The sequence below is a fragment of the Homo sapiens genome, chromosome 15 (genome assembly GCF_000001405.40).
Source record: "Homo sapiens chromosome 15, GRCh38.p14 Primary Assembly".
Classification (NCBI taxonomy): domain Eukaryota; kingdom Metazoa; phylum Chordata; class Mammalia; order Primates; family Hominidae; genus Homo; species Homo sapiens.
Window position 1 is genome coordinate 25142416 of NC_000015.10, and position 19865 is coordinate 25162280.

At 35.0% G+C, this 19865-nt stretch overlaps 1 long non-coding RNA gene and 1 pseudogene across 1 annotated transcript in view; both read left to right on the forward strand.

Annotated features, from left to right (window-relative positions):
• Positions 1-19865, forward strand: part of SNHG14 (small nucleolar RNA host gene 14) — a 595855-nt gene that overhangs the window by 318808 nt on the left and 257182 nt on the right. The gene's annotated exons all lie outside the window — the stretch shown is intronic.
• Positions 16806-16864, forward strand: LOC124903592 (uncharacterized; annotated as a pseudogene).

A 19865-nucleotide genomic window follows, 5' to 3' on the forward strand; every position in this document is an offset into this window, starting at 1 on the left:
ATTTTCAATTTTGTGTATTTTCAGTAAAGGTTATCCAGCAAGAGGGACTATGAAACTTAAAGGAGACCCTAACCTAAACCAAGCCAGCAGAGGCTTCCAGTAATTTAGCTGTTGTGGCTATTGCCACTGGGTGAAGATACAGACTTCAATGAGCTGGCCCCTGAGGATTCTCCTGAAATGCATTTAGAACACCAAGAGCTTATCCCCAGCACTCATATACAAACTGGTAGAGAGTTCTGTGATAATTAGGTAGGCCTAAAGTGGGAGGTCATTGGAAGGCTAATTTTAACTCACAAAAATCTCTTTGTGATTAGGTTCTTAGGGCTCAGTTTTGGCTACTCATAAAGTGGGTAAGTCAGAGAGATGGGAAATTTTGGAAAATTTTGGAATGTTCTGCAATAAGCATCCAAGGAAACCCAGGAATCCTCTTAATGATCTCTTAACTACTAGCCTGAAAAGTTTTGGATAGCTTATAATCTATCAGGCATAAAGGATTCATCTTCTTGGGATAAATCACATCATAGGTAACGAACTTAAACAAAATTCTAACTTCTCTTTGGAAATTGTATGACCTTTCTGAGCTAAAACAAAGTAGATAGGTAGAATAAGTCTTAGAACTTGCTTTGTCTTTAGAACACAGTCACTGGTCATTCATATTATCTATTGATAAGAGTGGAATCACAGAAATTTAGGGTCCTTGAAATCGTTGTGAAAAGTAGGAAGGTATCTAAGTAAATCCAGGGGATATAGTACAAGTATGCTGTTGATTTTGCCTAGGGTGTACCAACAAGTATAGAGTATTTTAATACAAAGGCACTATAACAAAAAAGTAGAACACAAATCTGCCACTATAAGATATGCAGCCTCAAGGACTCAGTGGAAATAAGATGGTATTTGGGTGGGGTATGATAAACAGCGATTATTCTATTTATGGTTCTGAAGTCCTGAAAAAATCTGCTATCTCTGCCACTGGGTTTTTGAGCATGGAGTGTAAAAGAATTATAAGGGCTGTTACAAAGTTTTTAGCTATTATTTTAGTCCTTTAGTCCTTTTTAATCTCTTGGTTTTAGAAGAGATTGTGCAAGTTGGGTAGCAGTTAAGGTGGATAAATCTGAGTCTTAACCGGGTTTATCCATAAGAATGTCAAGCACTTCCTTGAGATCTTCAATTTTGGCTTGATTTAGATTCAATAGTAGTCGTGAATCAATGTCCAGATTATCTATGGTTTCTTTATGAGTGAGGGAGTCAGAGACTCAAGGTCTAGACCATCCAGATAGCATTTAATTTACAGTTCCACCCACGTAGTAACTTCCTACCTATCATGTGAGTGAATATGGTATTACAGAGAAAGAAAGAGTGTAATTTAGTTAAAGTCCAAGGGTGGCTGTAATGGGCTGGGATGTGAGGAATATTTGATAATTATTGCAGAAACCTACCATGTGAGTAGTTTATTTTCAATGAAGAGGTTGTGTAATAGTGATAAGGTTTAAGGTTGATGATATTTAGCACCCATATCAGTTAAAAAAATTTGCAGAGTTGTCATTTAATATTTAGAGAAAGTTTTCTTTTTGACTTGAAAGATGAAATGTTTTGTGCTTGATACCCACCGGAAGCACCTTGATTTGTCACTTATTTCATGTTTTGCCCTTTGATTCTGAGCTAATGCAAAACAAGTGTTTTCCAATTTCCTTACTGCTTACAGGCGTCTTTATCAAGAGACTTCCTTATTCCGGGTTTAATGTCTGGGATAGGAGGATGTAATTTTATCTCTACTTTGATTTTTTTTAATGAAACTCTTTCAAAATGTTTAGTGAGGTGCTAGAGATCTGATAATGGGAATAATATTGCTCATTGTAGTTTTTTTTTACATATTAAATCCTGTTTTTTTGGCTTCAGTTCCTTTCTGCAAAATGGGGAAAGATGTGTGTGGGCTCATATCTGCTTCAAGGTCTACTGAGTCCTTCCTAAGGGTATTAAAGAGCCTATCTTCAATTTCTCCAATGGACACATCCTTTCTTTGCTTGCAGGACTGGATTATAAAACAATCTATTTTCACAGGGAAGACTTTAGGGGTAGTCTCCAAAAGACCTTGTCCAATATCTTCAGTTTTTCTAAAATTCTTTGTTTCCTGTAAAATTTGAAACTCTTTGGTTTCCTGTGGTCTTTTATGTCACCACTGAGACTGACCCATTTTGCCTTTTTCATGTACTTTTTTGCATCTAGGGTTATCACTAAAATATGAACTCCTTGGTATAGATTTGGGAGCCCTGGATTCTAACTTCCTAAAGATGTTTTATAATCCTCGCAAGTTTTCCTCTATTCTGCCTGTGCTTTGAAGAGCCTTTGACGGGGTCTCTCATCTCAGAGTTAGATGGCTTAAAATCAACCACAGATGTTTCCCTGTTGTGAGGGTAGTTTAACATGAAGAGGTCATTGAGCTTTGGGGTTTTCTGGCTGTCTGAAAGAGAAGAAAAATTGTTCAGAGGGAGAGATGGGGGAGAGAATAATAATAGGATAAAGTCTATTTGGTTTGAGTTATGATTTGTTGGTATCTAAAACAGAGAGAGAGTTTTTTTTTTCTTTTGCCCTGGCTAACAAATTTCATAAGAAAGCAGTTTTGAAATCTGAATTGCCTTTGGATGTTTCTCAGATTAATTAAAAATGTAGACTACTGGATGTTTGAAATTTTGATCTATTTTTATTTTAATGTACTCTTAAAAAATTTTGTTCATAGAAAAACTTCCCCCAAAGTGGCTGCTATAATTGTAACTCATCTCTGTTGAAATTATGCCATTTAAATAAGTATATGAATGTGGATTATCTTATAAACATATGGAAGAAGAAGTCCAGAGGGCGTTTGGAATTAGAATGAGACTGGAGGCATACCCTGAAAGTGTGGTAAAACTCTGAAAAAAATGTTGCTTATGACCCCTTGGGTCTCTCAACCTGATTTCTACATTGTCTAACTGTAGACCTGAAGGAATTTGCAGTTTCTTGGGGGTACATAAGATGTTAATAGGGGATTTCTCTTAGAACCAGACTGATGATCAAGACAAGATTGAGGAAAATTGTCATAGGTTTTGATAAGGACCTAGGGAAAAATTTCTCCAAAGGACAGCAGGCTGAGAAGAAATCTTACAAACTTCTCCATCCCTGGGGCTGTCTTGAGGGATCCACTTACCTGGGTCTCTCTCACTCTCTTCCCTATGAACATTCCTTATATATACACATGAAGTGGCAAAGACAAAGGCGAAGAGTAGCATCACTAGTAATAAGGCAGTTTCACCAAAGATAAATTTTTTTCAAGTCTGATCAAAGTGTTCCTGAAAAGAGTTCCTTACCCTTAGGAGACAAAATAATCTCAGTATACTGGGAGTTCAATGAAAATATACTGGGGCTCAGTCCAATTTGATTTACTTAATACACTGTTGCACTAAGAGATAGTCCTGACCAGGAAGCTAAAAGGATATCTGAGGAGGACAATGAATTAAGGTTCTGAATTAAGGTTCTTGTGCCTAGGCTGCAAAGAGGTCTCAATCTTTATGGATCTTGGTGAGATCTCCAAGATTGTTCAATACTGAATTCCTAGAAATACAACCTGAAGAATATTTTGATAAGGCAAAGCTGAGTTTATTCTTAATGTGGTAAGAGAAAGCAATCCCCTAATAGATATTAATAACATTTTGGACAAGGAAGGACAAAGTTAGAATATTTATGAGACTTTAAAGGCTCATTTAAGATGGGTCTTTAAATGCCAGGGCTTGATTAGGATTTGGCGAGGATTATGATAAAAGAGTTTACTGTTGGTGGACACAGCAAAGTAAAGATTTGGAGGTGAGGGATTCAAAAACTCTTAGAATATAAGCTATTGTCTGATGTTTTCTACTGATGAGTTAATAAGTTTCTAAGGAAGTTCTTGTAATAAATAATAAACATTATTCACAACTTTTATTTTTCTGAGCAAGAATTTACTGGAATAGTAAAGTGAAAATAGTGCCAGTGAAAATAGTGGAAAATTTAAATTGGAGGCAATTAGCCATGAGAGTGTACATGATTTTGTTTCTCACAGTGTCAGTTAACATTTCCCCTCTGTGCAAATCCTTCAATAGTTTACAATTTGTTTATAATAAATGTCCGTAGAATGGCCCACAAAACTGGACCTGGTCAAGCCACTTTCTGTCACCTCTTACCTCTTAGCTACTACTTGCTGTTCTGGAACCACTGGGCCAGCTTCTGCACCAGATTCTCTCTTGGCCCCAAGCATTTTTCCACCGTCTCTCTCTCTCTGCTTACTCCTCTGCCATCATCAGTTGTCAACTAGGCTAACCTGGTACACTTCTCTAAGTATCAATATCACTACAATGTTGCTCTTTACCCCTTTCCACTATTTTCAACACTGATCATGTAATATAAAATATTATTTAATATTTTAAATGATTATCCATCTCCTTGCACTAGAATGTAAACATGCTGACTGTAGAGATTTTTGTCTTTGTCTTTTACTGCTCCAACACCAATTCTCTGACTTTGAAGGCAATAAAAACTGACTTTAAACCTGAAAAGAAAGAGCTAAATTGCCTTCCAGTTCTTTGAAGTAAAAGTTTATACTTCAAAAGAATTGCTCTGGAAAGGGAGAAACTGCAAGAGAAATTTCAACTTCTTGCTTCTCAAAGAGAAAGGCAAAATTATATAAAATTTTGAGGAAGGGTGGCATTTAGGTTAAATTTATAATAAACAGTATAGCTGGGTTAGATGGAAGCAAATGGAGTTGGTCAGATGGGGTTGATTTGATCAAAGCCAAGTGGAAATGATTGGAAGGATTAGAGAGCAGACCAGTACAAGCAGTGCTTGCTGATGTGGACATTTAAGTGAAAACTCATTTTGACCAATTTTGCAGCTTCCTGAGTATGGGGTGAGGATATCCTGTTCTTTAGGGGATAATAAGATTTTCAGCTTCTTTTGTACATGTGATGATGCCTTTAGGCAAGGGTGATATTTTTCATTCTCATGACCAAAGCACAGACCATAAGTCTGAACACAGAACACTATACATGGTAATCTAGGTACTCTATTTGCCTTTGTAGGTGATTGCAATTTTTTCCTTATTTAAAATTTTAAGACCATAAAGAATACTTGAAAAGTAACTTTTTACCAATCATTTAAAAAATACTGATTAAATGATAAAATCCCTTAAAAACACAGTTAATGCAAAAGCCACAAAAAGAAATATAAAATATAGCTTTACATCTGTTAAAGACACTGAACACATAATTAAAATATTCCCAAACAACAATGCTCCATGCTGAAATGTTCCACTAGTAAATTTTTACAAATATTTAAGGGAAAAATGTATAATTTTCATTTTCTCAGGATAGCTGACTTCTAGTAACTAAACATGACAAAGAACTATAAAAATTGAATTTACAGAACATGGCTACTAGGAATATAGATCCAAGTAGCCTGAACACAATAATAGTAAATCAAATTATGTGAATTTTTTTTTTTTTGAGATGGAGTCTTGCTCTCTTGCCCATGTTGGAGTGCAGTGGCACGATCTCTGCTCACTACAACCTTACAACCTCCACATCCCAGGTTCAAGTGATCCTCCTGCCTCAGCCCCACTAGTAGCTGGGATTACAGGCACTTGCCACCATGCCAGTTTAATTTTTGTATTTTTAGTAGAGACAGGGTTTTGCCATGCTGGCCAGGCTGGTCTTGAACTCCCGACCTCAGGTGATCCACCTGCCTCGGCCTCCCAAAGTGCTGGGATTATAGGCATGAGCCACCGCACCCAGCCAAAATATTTTTTTAAAAGGTCACTGCATTATAATCATTTGGGGTTTACTTGAGAAATGAAGATTTTTTTTTTAAACATTCAAAAAATCATTCAACACTTCTGGTTTCAGCTCTGATATGTGAGGAACTTGTAAGTTATAATTACTGTCCTTATAACAAGATAAAGCAGAACAAATTGAAAAAAAAATCAATTATTTCCTTTAACCCATCAGAGAACTGAGGCTTCAGGGAAAGTTGCCACCCCAAAGTCTGGGGACACCGATTGATACACAGCTGAAATTTGCTTAGCTGGAACAGAAGCCACTGGAGCCACAAATTGATAGGAACATTTAAATAGCAATTTAGATGAATAGCTGGGCTGAATGTGGGCTAGAGTGAAAGGAAGAAACTCCTGGGAACCCCCACATTTTTGTGGGTTCTACCTCCAGAACCTCAACAATTTCTCATGGTAAAGATTTAAGAAAGATCCCCTCCTCCTTTGGAAAGGGAGAGAAGAGTAATCATTGTGAAATACACCCAGAGCATTCTTCATAACAAAGACCTAACCTCCAGGGGAAAAATTTTATCTGAGCCATATCTCAGTAAGGGATAAGGGGAAGGGCATTCCTTTCATTTCAGCCTTCTCTAGCTTTCCTGTTTTACCAATCAGGAAATAAAAAACCCACAATTGTCAATAGAGATCAGCACTTCAAGGAAATAGATTGGAAGCAAAAGAAGGAGGGAAAAGAGTAGAGAGGTCAGGTGGAGTTGAGGGAGAGGTTCTGCCACTGAAGGAATGTTTGTGATGGTTGTAACACCAAGACACAGGCACACAGAGACTTATTCAAAAGATCATAGAACACTCTCCCCTATGTCTTACGACCCCACCAGCAGTGTTCTGTGTAATAGTAGATTACAGTTGAAATAGCTGTAAGACACCAATTCTCTCAGAGGAGTACTTAGGGAAGTCCAAAGTCAAGAGCAGAAACAAAAGACACTAGAGGAATTTGGCATTTCTGGTGCCTCTAGTAACAGCAAACATTAAACAAAGCCCAATTCCTCATCAGATTTCTGTAAATAGCATTCTAAAGCTCCATTTACCTCAGTACTTACTACCAGATACAGTTCAACAAAAAATTACAATGCACATCCTATGACAAGAAAAAACAGTCTGAAGAGAGAAAGCAATTAGCAGAACCAGACTCAGAACAAAGATGTTGGAATTAATAATAGAGATTTAAAATAACTATGATTAATATGTTAAGGACTCTTAGACATGCAAAAATAGATTATATAAGCAGAGAGATGGAAACTCAAAAGAAGCAAGAGGAAATGCTAGAAATAAAAAACACTATAACATAAATGAAGAATGCCTTCAACAGGCTCGTAAGTAGATTCAGCACAGCCGAGGAAAGATTCAGTGATCTTGAAGTTAGGTCAATAGAAATTTTGCAAACTAAAATGCAAATACAGAAAAAGAAAAGAATGAAGAAAATGGGACAGAACATCCAAGAACTGTGGAACAATTTTTAAAGGTGCAACATAGATGTAATGGGGATACTAAAAGAATGGAGTATAGAGCATAATATATGTTTGAAGTAAAAATGGCCAAGAATTTTTCAAAATTAATAACAGACACCAAACCACAGGCCCAGAAATCTCAGAGAACACAAAACAGTAAAAATGCAAAAAAAGCAAAAACAAAAACAATAAAACCTACAAATATCATATTCAACCTGCGGAAAGACAAACACAGAAAAAGAAATCTTTAAAGAAGGTAGATAAAACATCCTCGTCTTCTCATCAGGAAAAAAAATCCGAAAGTAGTAATGTGGTAGTCAATTATGGCATATGGATGTGTGAAAACAATGGCAGCAATGCCACCAGAGATAGGAAAAAAAATGGAAATCCTCTGTTATAAGGCACCTGCACTAAGCGTGAAGTGGTATGGTGTAATTTGAAGATGGGTTTAGATTAGTTAAAAATGTATATTGTAGCCAGGGTGACATAGCAAAACCCAGTCTTAACTAACAATACAAAAATTAGCCAGGTGTGGTGGCACACATCTGTAGTTCCAGCTACTTGGGAGGCTGAGGTGGGAAAGTTGCTTGAGCCCGGGAGGCAGAGGTTGCAGTGAGCCGAGATTGCACCCCTGTACTCCAGCCTGGGTGATACAGCAAGACCCTGTCTCAAAACAAACAAACAAACAGAAATGTATATTGTAAGTTCTAGCTCAACCAGTTAAACAAATAAGAAAAGATAATTGATATGCTAAGAAAGGAGATAAAATGGAATCATGTAACATGATCAAGTAAAAGTAGAGAACACAGTAAAATAGAGGTCTTAAAGAAATAGTAATGCAATGACTAGAAAGCAGTTGCAAACATGGAATATATTGATCCAACTGTATAAATAATCACTTCAGATGTGAATTATCTACATTGAAAAACAGAAACTCTCAGAATGGACTAAGACAAGACCAAACTAAATGGCTACAAGAAGCCTACTTTAAAATTAAAGATTTGGATACTCTGAAAGTAAAGGGATGGAGAAAGATATAACATGCTTACAGTAATCAAAAGACAGCTGGAGTAGCTATATTGATTTTCAGACACAGCAGAATTCAGAACAAGGAAGGTTACCAGGCATGAAAAGTGGCAATACATAGTGAGAAAGGGCCAATTCTACAAGAATATCTAAACGTGTATGCACCTATTAACAGTGTCAAGATATACATGAGGTAAAAGTTGATAAAACTGAAAAAAGAAATAGATAAACCCTATTTATAGTCAGAGGTTCCAACATCCCTCTGGCATAGACATAAATAAGAATATTGATAACCTGAACAGCATTATCAGTTAAGTTGTTTGATGTTTATAGAGTACTCCAACAACAGAAGAATTTACATGAATATACATTATTCCAAAGTTTACATGAAATATTCATGAAAACATCATATTATGTGCCATAAAACAAATTTAAAAGATTATAAATCATACTAAGTACTCAGGTCACAATGTAATAAAACTAGAAACCAATAAAGAAAGACATAGCTGGGAAATCTCCAAATATTTGGAAACTAAACAACAAACTTGTATATAATAGACACATCAAAGAACAAGTCATTAGAGAAATTAAAAATTATTTTGAACTAATTCCAGCTGGACAATACTGGTTACAATTTGTGGGATGCAGCTAAAGTAGTGCTTGCAAGGAAATTTTTAGCATTAAATACATTAAAAAGAAAAAGACCAATAATCAATCTGACCTTCCACCTTAGAAAAATACAGAACAGTTTAAGCAAACAGAAGAACCTTAAGCAAACAGAAGACAAGAAATAATAAAAGAATAAAAATCAATGAAATTTAAAACAGAAAAACAGTATGGAAAACCAAGAAAACCAAAAGTTGATTTGTTTAAAAGATTGGTAACATTGCTAAACTTCTAGTCAGGCTAAGCAAAGAAAAGAAAAAAGACAAATGACCAATATCAGGAGTAAAGGAGGGGACATCAGTATTGATCCCATGGACGTGAAAAGGATAACAGAATACTAAGAACAACTCTATGCCTCCAGATTTGATAAATGAAATGGACCAATACCTTGAAGTAAACTACCACAACCTCCAAAAGGAAAAATAGGTAACCTGAATAGCAATATATCTATTAATGAAATTGAAATAATAATTAACCTTCCCCCAAAATAGCACCATGCCCAGAGAGTTTTACTAGTGATTTTTACTAAACATTTAAGGAAGATGCAATACCAGTTCTCCACCATTACTTCCAGAAAATAGAAACAGAGGGAAGACTTCCCAACTCATTACATCACACCATCATTACCCTAACATAATAACCAGATAAAAACATTAAAAGAAAGAAAAACTACAGACCAATATCTCTCATGAAGATTGACGTAAAACTCCTTGACAAAATATTATCAAATCGAATTCAACAATGTATAGAAAAAATTAGTACCATTATGTACATTATGGGATTTATTCCAGGTATGCAAGGCTCTTTGAACATTCAAAATTCAGCCAATGTAGTAGACCGTATCAATAGCCTACAGAAGAAAAATTATATTATTATATCAATAGATGCAGTAAAAGCATTTCACAAAATTGAATATTCATGATTTTTAAAATCTCAGCAATCTAGGAATACAAGGAAATTTCCTCAACTTGATGAAAAAATTCTACAAAAAACCCCATAGCTAATATCATACTGAAATGTAAGAGACTGTATGTTAATTTCAGGAGCAAGGCGAGGATGTCCTCCAATTCTATGCAACATCATACTGGAAGTCTTAGCTAGTGCAACAAGACAAGAAAAGGGAATGAGGCATACAGATTGTGATGGAAGAAATAAAACAGTCTTTACTCAAGGATGACATGGAGAAAATCCCAAAGAATCCACAAAAGAAAAACTTGGAGCTAATAAGTGAGTATAACAAAGTTAAAGGATATAAGGTTGATATACAAAAACCAATTGCTTACCTATAAACCAGTAATAGTCTATTGAAATTAGAAAAAAACTATAATAGCACCATAACAAAAGCAAATAAAACCCTTACTTATAAACCTAAAGAAAAACAGGTTCAGGATCTATATGTCTATATGTAGAAGACTATAAAACTTTGATAAGAGAAATCAAAGAAGATCAAAATAAATGAACAGATATATCCTGTATCCATAGATAGAAGACTCAATATTATAAAAATGTCAGTTCTTCCTAACTTTATAGACTCAATTCAATTCTATTCAAAATCCCAGCAGGCTATTTTGTAGATGTTGACAAAGAATAACCAACATAACACTGAAGAAGCACAAAGACAGAGGAGAAATACTACCTGATTTTAAGACTTTTACTAGAAGCTGCAGTAATCAAGACTTTGTGGTACTGGCAAAAGAACAGATACATAAGTTAATAGTACAGAATAGAGAGCCCAGAAATAGACACCACACAAATATAATTAACTGACCTGTGTCAGGGAACAAAGACAATCCAATGCATAAAAGAATAGTCTTTTCAGTTAATGGTGCTGCAACAAGGAGATGTCTGTATGTGAAAAAGTGAACCTAGACATAGGTTTTAGATATTTCACAAAAATTAACTCAAAATAGACCATAGAACTAAATATGAAATGCAAAGTGTTAATAATTCTAAAAGAATACAAGAGAAAATGTATTTGATCTTGGGTTTTGTGATGGGGAACACCAAAGACACAGACCATGAAGGGAAAAAAATGGTAAGCTTTTAAAATATAAGTTCTGTTTGGAAAAAGGCACTTAATTAAAAGATAAGCCACAGATTGGGGGAAAATATTTTCAAAGTACATATCTAATAAAGGTATTCTAGTCAACTGTATAGAGAACTCTTAAAACTCAGCAATAAGAAAACAAATGACCAATTAAAAAATAGGCAAAAGATCTGAACAGACACCATACCAAAAAACAAAAACAAATACAAATGATAAATACACTTATGTAAAGATGCTTAACATTTTCTGTCACTGGAGATAAAAAATAATAAAATACCACTACACATGTACTCATATACATGTACACAGTACACATATACACTACACACAGTACACATGTATTCCCATGTAATAGAATGGCTAAAATCCATCCAAAGCCTGATCATGCCAACTTCTGTTGAAAAGGCAAGCAACATTAATTGGTGATGGAAATGCAAAATAGCACAGCCACTTTTGAAGACAGTTTGGCAGTTTCTTAGAAAGCTAAATGTTGTCCTGCCATATATCTAGCCACTACGCTCCTTGGTATTTACCCAACTAATCTGAAAACTTACGTCCACATAAATGCCAGCACATGAATATTACAGCTTTATTCATAATGACCAAAACCTGAAATTAACTAAAATATCATTCAATAGGTGGATGGATAAACTGTGATACATTTATACAATAGAATACTATCAAGCAATAAAAAGGATTAACCCATCAAGCCACACAAAAACATGGATAAATCATAGATGCATATTGCTGAGTAAAAGAAGCCAATCTGAAAAGAATACATACAATATTCTTCATTTTTGTAACATTCTGGGCAAGGCAAAACTATAGATATCAATGGTTGGCAGGGTTCAGGCGAAGGGGCAGGGATTTAATAGATAAATCACAGCAAATCTATTCTGTATGGTACTGTAATAGTGTATACATTATACTGTGCGTTTGTCAAAACACAGTGAACTTTAAAGCACAAATGAACCTTAATGTACACAAATTTTAAAAAATCATTTAGGAGTTTGGGGGATCCAAGATGGAACACAGTGTCTGACAAAAGAATCCAGGTGTTTTACAAATGTATTAGACAAGCTTACGAATAATGTTGGGGAGAAAAGATAATGACTTAAGTAACTTTGAAAATGAGTGGAATCTGTTAAGACTAGAGGCAAAGTGACTGTACAGGAGCACTGCACACTATTTGATAAAGTTGTTTTCTGTAGGTGTATGAGTTAGCAATTCTAAATCATGATACATATGTATATTGGAATTGAACAATTAAGTAAATGGTTGGCAGATGGTGTACATTTTCTTATTGTTGGAATGAAAAGTTACAGACAAGAAGAAAAGAATGATTTGTGTTGTAATGGATTAGAGTTGGAAACGTCAGTGTAAACTTATGTTTAGTTTAATATGCAGACAGATGGTTACACATAGAAATATAGATGCATGTATTTACATAGTTATTGTACACACCCTGTGTCAACTGAGAATGCTTAGAAGCAATGACACTCTAGTAACAATGGGCACACCTAGAACCCAGCCCTTAGTTTCTAATACCATTCTCCAATAGAACAAATCAGGGATCCTTGTAGAAATGGCTGATTCTAAGACTGGTTAGGAAATGTACAAGATGAGCCTGGAGCATCATATAGTGCCAGAGAGTAAGGAAGTACTAAAACAAGAACCCCACATTGATGAAAGTATATCAAAGGGACTCAGGAACCAACCAAAAGAGCTTCCAGTGGTCAAATCTGGAACAAATTTTTAAAAATAAATAGCATAATATTAGATTACAACCCAAAGTATAAAATATCCATGAATCCATATTGATGTAAATAATCAAATGAATAAATAAACTGGGGAGAACATAGATTTTTTGTGCAGAATAATTTCATATAGTTTTTATAGATACTTTTGCCCTTAAGGAGGTTGAACTCCTTACTCGTCAAGTGTGGGAAGAAAGTCATTAGGCACATTGGTGACTTTCTTTCAAAGAGTACAGGGTGGAAATGGGGGATGGAAGGGAAGAGTAACTGTGCAGGGGAGAAACCTGACAAGCACTATCTCTACATGGTAATCAAGGTTAACATCAGTAGTGATAAATCATGCTGATAGTATATACCTTTGATATGACGTGATAAAAATTGCACTTTACCTCTACAGTCTTCCTCCCAAAAACCCATAAGATCAGTATCATTATGAGAAAAATCATCAAACAAATCCCACATGAGATATACTCTACAAAATACTTGACTAGTTTTGCTCAAAACTGTGAAGGTCCTCAAAAAGGAAAGCTTGAGAAAGTGTGACAGTCAAGAAGAGCCTAAATAGACAAGACAACTAAATGGAATATGGCATCCTATATGGGATCCTAGAAGAGTAATAGTACATTATGTAAAACTATGGAAATCTGAATAAAGTGGGCTTTAGTTAATAATAATCTATCAATATTGGTTCGTTGAGTGTGACAAATGTGCCATATTAATACAAGATGTTAACAGGAGGGGAAACTGGGTATAGGGTATTTGGGAACTCTGTTTCAGCTTCACTTTTTAAAAAATCTTCAAATGTTTACTTCAAAAATGAATTCAAAATCACTCAATGTAAATCACTATGGTAACATAAGAGAGAAGAAAAGTTATATGATCATCTCAAAAGAGAAAAAGCATTTGATAAAATATAAAAACTATTCTTTATAAATCTCTTTATTGGAACTACGAATTTATGGGAACTAAAAATTGAAAAAAATTTAATGAGATAAAGGGTATTTACAAAATAAATTAATTGTAAAATTATTGACAGTGGAGATAGAGAAAGCTTTTTTATGAGATTGGGAATAAAAGAGGATTTTTTTTCATCATTTCTATTCATTACTATACTGGATGTCCTAACTAGGGGAGTAGAGTCATAGAATAAGGATTGGAAATGGAAAGGTATAAGTTTCATTATTTACTGACAAGAAACAAGTCTGAACATGATCAATTAAAATTAGGAAGTTAATTGAGCAAGATTGCTGGGTTAAAAAGCAGATAACTAAAATGTATTTCTATGTAAAATGACAAATGAAAAATGAAGTTTTTAAAAGATAACATTTTTGGGAACATCAGAAACATCAATTCCATAGGAAAAAATTCACACAAAATATTATGAAACATTATGGAAAGGAAGCAAGTAATACCTTACAAATGGAGGGATATAATATATTCACAGTGGCAAATTCAATTACATATACTATACATGTTAATTCTCCCCCAAATTCACTTAAAGATCCCAACGTAAGAGCATTCTAAATCTGAATGCCATTTATTAAATGTTCAATCTAATTTCAAGAATTATATATGACACAAAAAGTCAAGAAGAGCCAAGATAGTCTTGATGAAGATGACAATTTTGCATGAGTTACATGGCCAAAATTTAAGGCCTACTATTGCAAGGTTACAGTTACTGACAAAAGACAGAAAACTAGCCTAATGGAGCAAAATAGAGACTCCACTCCACAAGCAGATCAATAGATATATGATTACTTGCTTTATGATAAAAGTGCCACTCCTGCATGATGAGGAAAGAATGGTTTGTTCAATAGTTAGTGCTGGATATCAATACATAAAAAAGTGAATTCCTTTTCAAACCATACAGATCCATCATTTCTAGGTGTAATGTTGGTCTATTCATGAAAGGCAAAACAGTAAAGCTTCTTGAGCATAGCATAACATAGGAGGGTGTCATCATAATTTGGCAGAAAGTGAAAAATACCAATAACACTAAGCATAAAGGAAAATATTGATGAATTAGTCTGCATCCAAATTAAAATTTTTATTTCTCAAAGTATATAATCAGTGAAGAAGCATCGTATAAAAGATACAACTTGTACATGTCAAAAAGTTAGAAAACACTTAAATGGGTACTTCACAAAAGAGGATATCTGAATGGCCAATAAGCCTATGAAAAGGTATTCAAGGTCATTAGCCATGAGAAAAATAATTCAGACAACAATCAGATAAACATCTTCCAGTATATCTAGACAGTCCCCAATTTATAATGGTTTGATTTATGATTTTTCCACTTTATGATGTTGTGAAAGTGGTATGCATTCAGTAGAAACCATACCTTGGATTTTGAATTTTCATTTCCCGGGCTAGCCACTGGCAGTATGATACTCTAGTGAGGCTAGGCAGCAGCAGTGAGCCATAGCTCCTAGCAGTCATGCAGTTATGAAGGTAAACAACCAATACTTCATCGCGTACTGTGCTGCCACCATTTTGACCCACTGTAGGCTAATGTAAGTGTTCTGAGCACATTTAAGGTAGGCTAGGCAAAGCTATGATGTTCAGTACATTAGGTGTACTAAAAGCATTTTTTATTTACAGTGTTTTTAACTTATAGTAGGTTTATTAGGAGGTAACTCCTTCATAAATCAAGGATCATCTGTTTAAAATTTGAAAGTGTGTGTTTTTTAGAATTCTCTTAGTATTCACTGAAGTTGAATGGAGGCAACATACTCTCAGGTATATGGTTAACAAAAATTCATGCATGATTGACCCAAAATATGTATACATGAATGCTTATCATGGTGCCATATCTAATAGCAAAAATTGAAAACAAAGTGCCCAGGAGGAGTTGAAGGATAAGTAAACCTTAAAATATGCACATATTCTCTCAAGGAACGTGGATAGTATTGTGACTGATTCTTCTCCATGTGTGATCCACATAGATGATAAGATCATCATGAGAAGAACTTAATTTTATACTTGAGCTTTGCTTTGACTGAAAGATGAGAAATTTTGTGATTATTGGTATCATCTCTATGATGTCATATTACCTAGATTCACATATTCTTAACTCCATTAAAATAGAAATTATATTTGTGGGCGGGGAACTTATTTTCATCCATCTCTGTTTCCTTCCAATTGAGCAATTCCTTATTTTATGTTAACCTGATTTTAGTGGTTCATTGCCATAATTCTTAGAAATTATATCTCATTTTTTCCTGTGATTTTACTGTATTGAAGTAAATCTGGTTGGCAGGATATACAATATTACATGAATGAAATTTGCCTTTGGTAACTGAGAAAGTTCAAATAGACCTTGGTTCTAGCGAAGACTTGTTTCTAAGGAATTTAGATTCATTCTTTCAGACAGTATGAATATCATTATGGGGTCTTCTTCATGAGTTATGTATGTGATGGGATTCTTGTAAGATTTTCACCTTTTACCTGAGCTTGCCTTGACTGAAAGTTGAGAAAATTTTGTGATTCATTGGTATAATTTCTACAGTGCAATATTTATTTGGATCTAAGCATGCAAGTAAAAAAATTCATCCCTGTTATAGTATTTCAGGTTTGCAGTACGTTATGACATTTGTAGATCATTGATGGACTATGAATATTCAAGGGACCTGGCAATTGTACCCAGGGGATTGAGATCCAGATACTTGTTTGTTTGCCCATAGATATAAAATTAGGAGCTTCCTGATATCTAATTTACTTTTTTAGGAATAACACCCATGAGATACAGTTCTCATCTACTGCCCTACTCCTGTCCTTAGATAAATAACACCGGAAGAAGAAGACTCTCTGGCCTCTTACATCAGGGACACATGAAAAGCCACACTGAATATGTATGAACTCCAATATACTTTCACAGAAGGGTTTAAGGATGCCATCCCTGGTTATAATTTTTAGGACCAAATATATATATATATACACACATACACACACATTTAGGATAGATATATATTTAGGATATATAGGATAAATATATATATTTAGTGCCATGGTTTGGGTCATGAGGAGGTTTGATGACATAAAAATTATGCTCATAAGTATTATGCTGAGACCCATTCTTGGGAGGAGATGTGGGGGTGTCCTAGGCTGTGCAAAACATAGCTATGGAAACAGAAGTTATTAAGAGAAAAGAACAAGCAGTCAGTGAGAATTTAGATAAGAGACTGTAATAGAATAAAAGTATCAGATTAGTGAATGGTTGTCCTAGTAATTTGGAAGAAAAGGAATAAAAAATGGAGTCAGACTACTAAATGGCAAAAATAAAGACTTGAAGAACTTAATTTTATACCTGAGCTTTGCTTTGATTGAAAGTTGAGAAATCTTGTGATTTGTCGGTATCATCATCTCAAATCAACTTATTTTTCATCTCAACATGAAGAATATCAGCTCTAGCCTTTTGGAATTTCAGCAACTCAGATGCTTGTTAGAACTTATCCAGGACTGCTTGCAGGACCCAAAATACTAATAATCCATATGCCTTTTTTTCCAGCTGAAATTAGCTGTCTTAAGAGTTGTTTTTCAGTGCTCTGAGGATATCCACAAATATATCCCAAGGCACTCTGAAGTGTGTTTTCAATCTTTGGCCCTGCACACTGGGGATGCCCACTGGATGTTGCATGGAGTGTTGCCTCCAGTTGACTTTGATAGACACAATAAACACCACGTGAGAGCCCCCTCATGAAGGAGGGCTGAGGACTTGGAGTCCAATTCTCCACCTCCCCTGACAGATAGGCTATTCAATGCCTTGGGAATCCGACATGAAGGACTGCTTATAGCAGTCCTTGAAAACTTTCTACAGAATGTGAACTGGGAGAAGCTAAATGCTGTACTCACAAGCTGGGTGACTTCTCCATTGATTTTTACCATAGCTCACTGAAACATTTTCTAAATTAACAGGTATAAATTCACAGACAGATCAGAATAGATCCTTGGTCCTTTCCATTTTTCTGGCACTTTTGTTGCCAGGAATTCAAATACAACTAAGAGAAAAAGTGGGTAGCTAGCAAGAACAGATAGTTTCTCAAATATTAGTGGCAGTAACCCAACTTTGAGAAAATATGGAGAAAGAGAAGAAAAAACCCTTAAGACTGCAGTGTTAGCTGCCCAGTTACAATTATTCACAAAGTGAGCAAATACTTATTTGGGCCACCAATAAATAAGAGGGCACAAGCTAACGGGAAATTAATACGTCACTCATGTAAAAAGTCAACACATTAGAAAAAGGAATCTTGGATGAGATTGAGAAAGATGCAAGGGATAAAACCTGACAAGCTTTACAACCTCCTTGAGGAGGTCTTCCCTACTCTGTAAAATCAGACAGAAAATCATTGGCAAATGGAGCAAAGCATGGGCAAAACTGATATAATGAGGAAACAGAGCTGGGAAAGGATAAATTTATGTGTCTGTTTCTGTTTCCTATCTTTTAATCCTTTTTTACCCTTTCTTCTGGATACTGGAGCAACGTATTCTGCAATTTCTACAGGCCTTTTCTGTTTTATCCTAAACTAGGAAAATATCCAGATATAAGTATTTCTGGACTATCTGCTACCTCTTCTTTCTCCTCTGAGGTTTTCATGCAAATAGGCGAGGTCCTATTTGCATAAAATAGGAAGAATATGCCTTGTCTCCTAATATGCCCAATAATCTTTTAAGAAAGGGCCTGCTGTGTAAACCAAGGGCTATGATCTTCTGTACTCTGAAGAGAGTGCTTTTGGAGCTTCTGGGATGCAAGGTATCTACATTGCTAAATATGTGCTTTCTGAAACAAAAGATGGCTGTGGGAGAGTAGGAGTCTCACTCAATGCTGGAGAAGCACTCCCAAGTTACAGAAAATAAACCCATATCTATGAGTCCTAGGAACAAATGATAAAGATTTAACAAAAGAGATCAATACCATTGTTGTAACTTACAACAGAGAAAAACCTTGGCCATGTATAGAACATTTTCTCTATTTTTACCTCAAATATGATGTAATTAGAAAAATTTTAAAAAACGTGGCATAGTTAAAAAAAAATGGCACATTCACTTCATAATGCTTCCATATTGCCTGTGGGAAAGTTAGGAAAACTTGACAGGGAAGGTCAAACTGTTTATAGATTTATGCATGATCTTAGAGAAACAAGTTGTGATTCCTCTGACACTTGTAATTCCCAGCCTTGCCACTGTTTTAATATCTGTTCCTGAGTTATCTAAGTATTTTTCTGTCATGGATTTATGTTCAATGTTTTGTTCTCCATGTTTAGCTGGGGAGTCGAGGTTCCTGTTTGAGTTTACCTGTGGAGCGGGAGGCTTTCAATATTTGTGGCAACGGATCTTCCTGGAATTCAGAGAGTCACCTACTCCATTCTCTGGGCATTTATAAGAAAATATAAAGAATATTCCTCACATTAGGATTCCATACTAATTGTTATTGATAGCTGCTAATAACTTACATGCTAGTAAAGAAGACATTTTAGCTTTACTAAATTTCTTAGACTCCCAGGACGTAAAACCTCGCTAGCTAAGTTGCAATATTACCAACTGAAGTAAAATATTTGGGATCTGTGTTATTGGCAGATGGAAGGTGGTTGCATCTTGAAGTCAGCCTAATATACAAATGAAACAACATGCCAAAAAAAAACTTCACCGATTTTGAGGATTAATTGTAGATCTTTGCGTTTTATGAAAAGGCTAAGCCTCTCACTGAGATGTTACATGAAACATCACTAGAACTCTTTATTAAAGTCAAAATAAGGCTGAAGAAGTCTTTTATGCCCTTAAAATAGCTGCTATTTCTTCACTTGTATTACTTTTTTAACCTTGTTAAAAAAGGAGTTCTACCTTTTCTGTCTTGAGATTAAGGGTTACTCCAAAATTAGGCCTTGATTATAGGCACATTGCTTACTTTCCCAGGTTCTTGTATTTTGTCTCTCTGGAAATGCGATGATATTTATAAGGTACAGTGGCAACCACTCCCCTGATTAAAAAGGCTCATTCAGTCCTTGACTCTGAGAAATTTAACTTACTTACAGGTACTTCATGTTGTTACTGCTATTTTACAAGTTCATAAGACACAA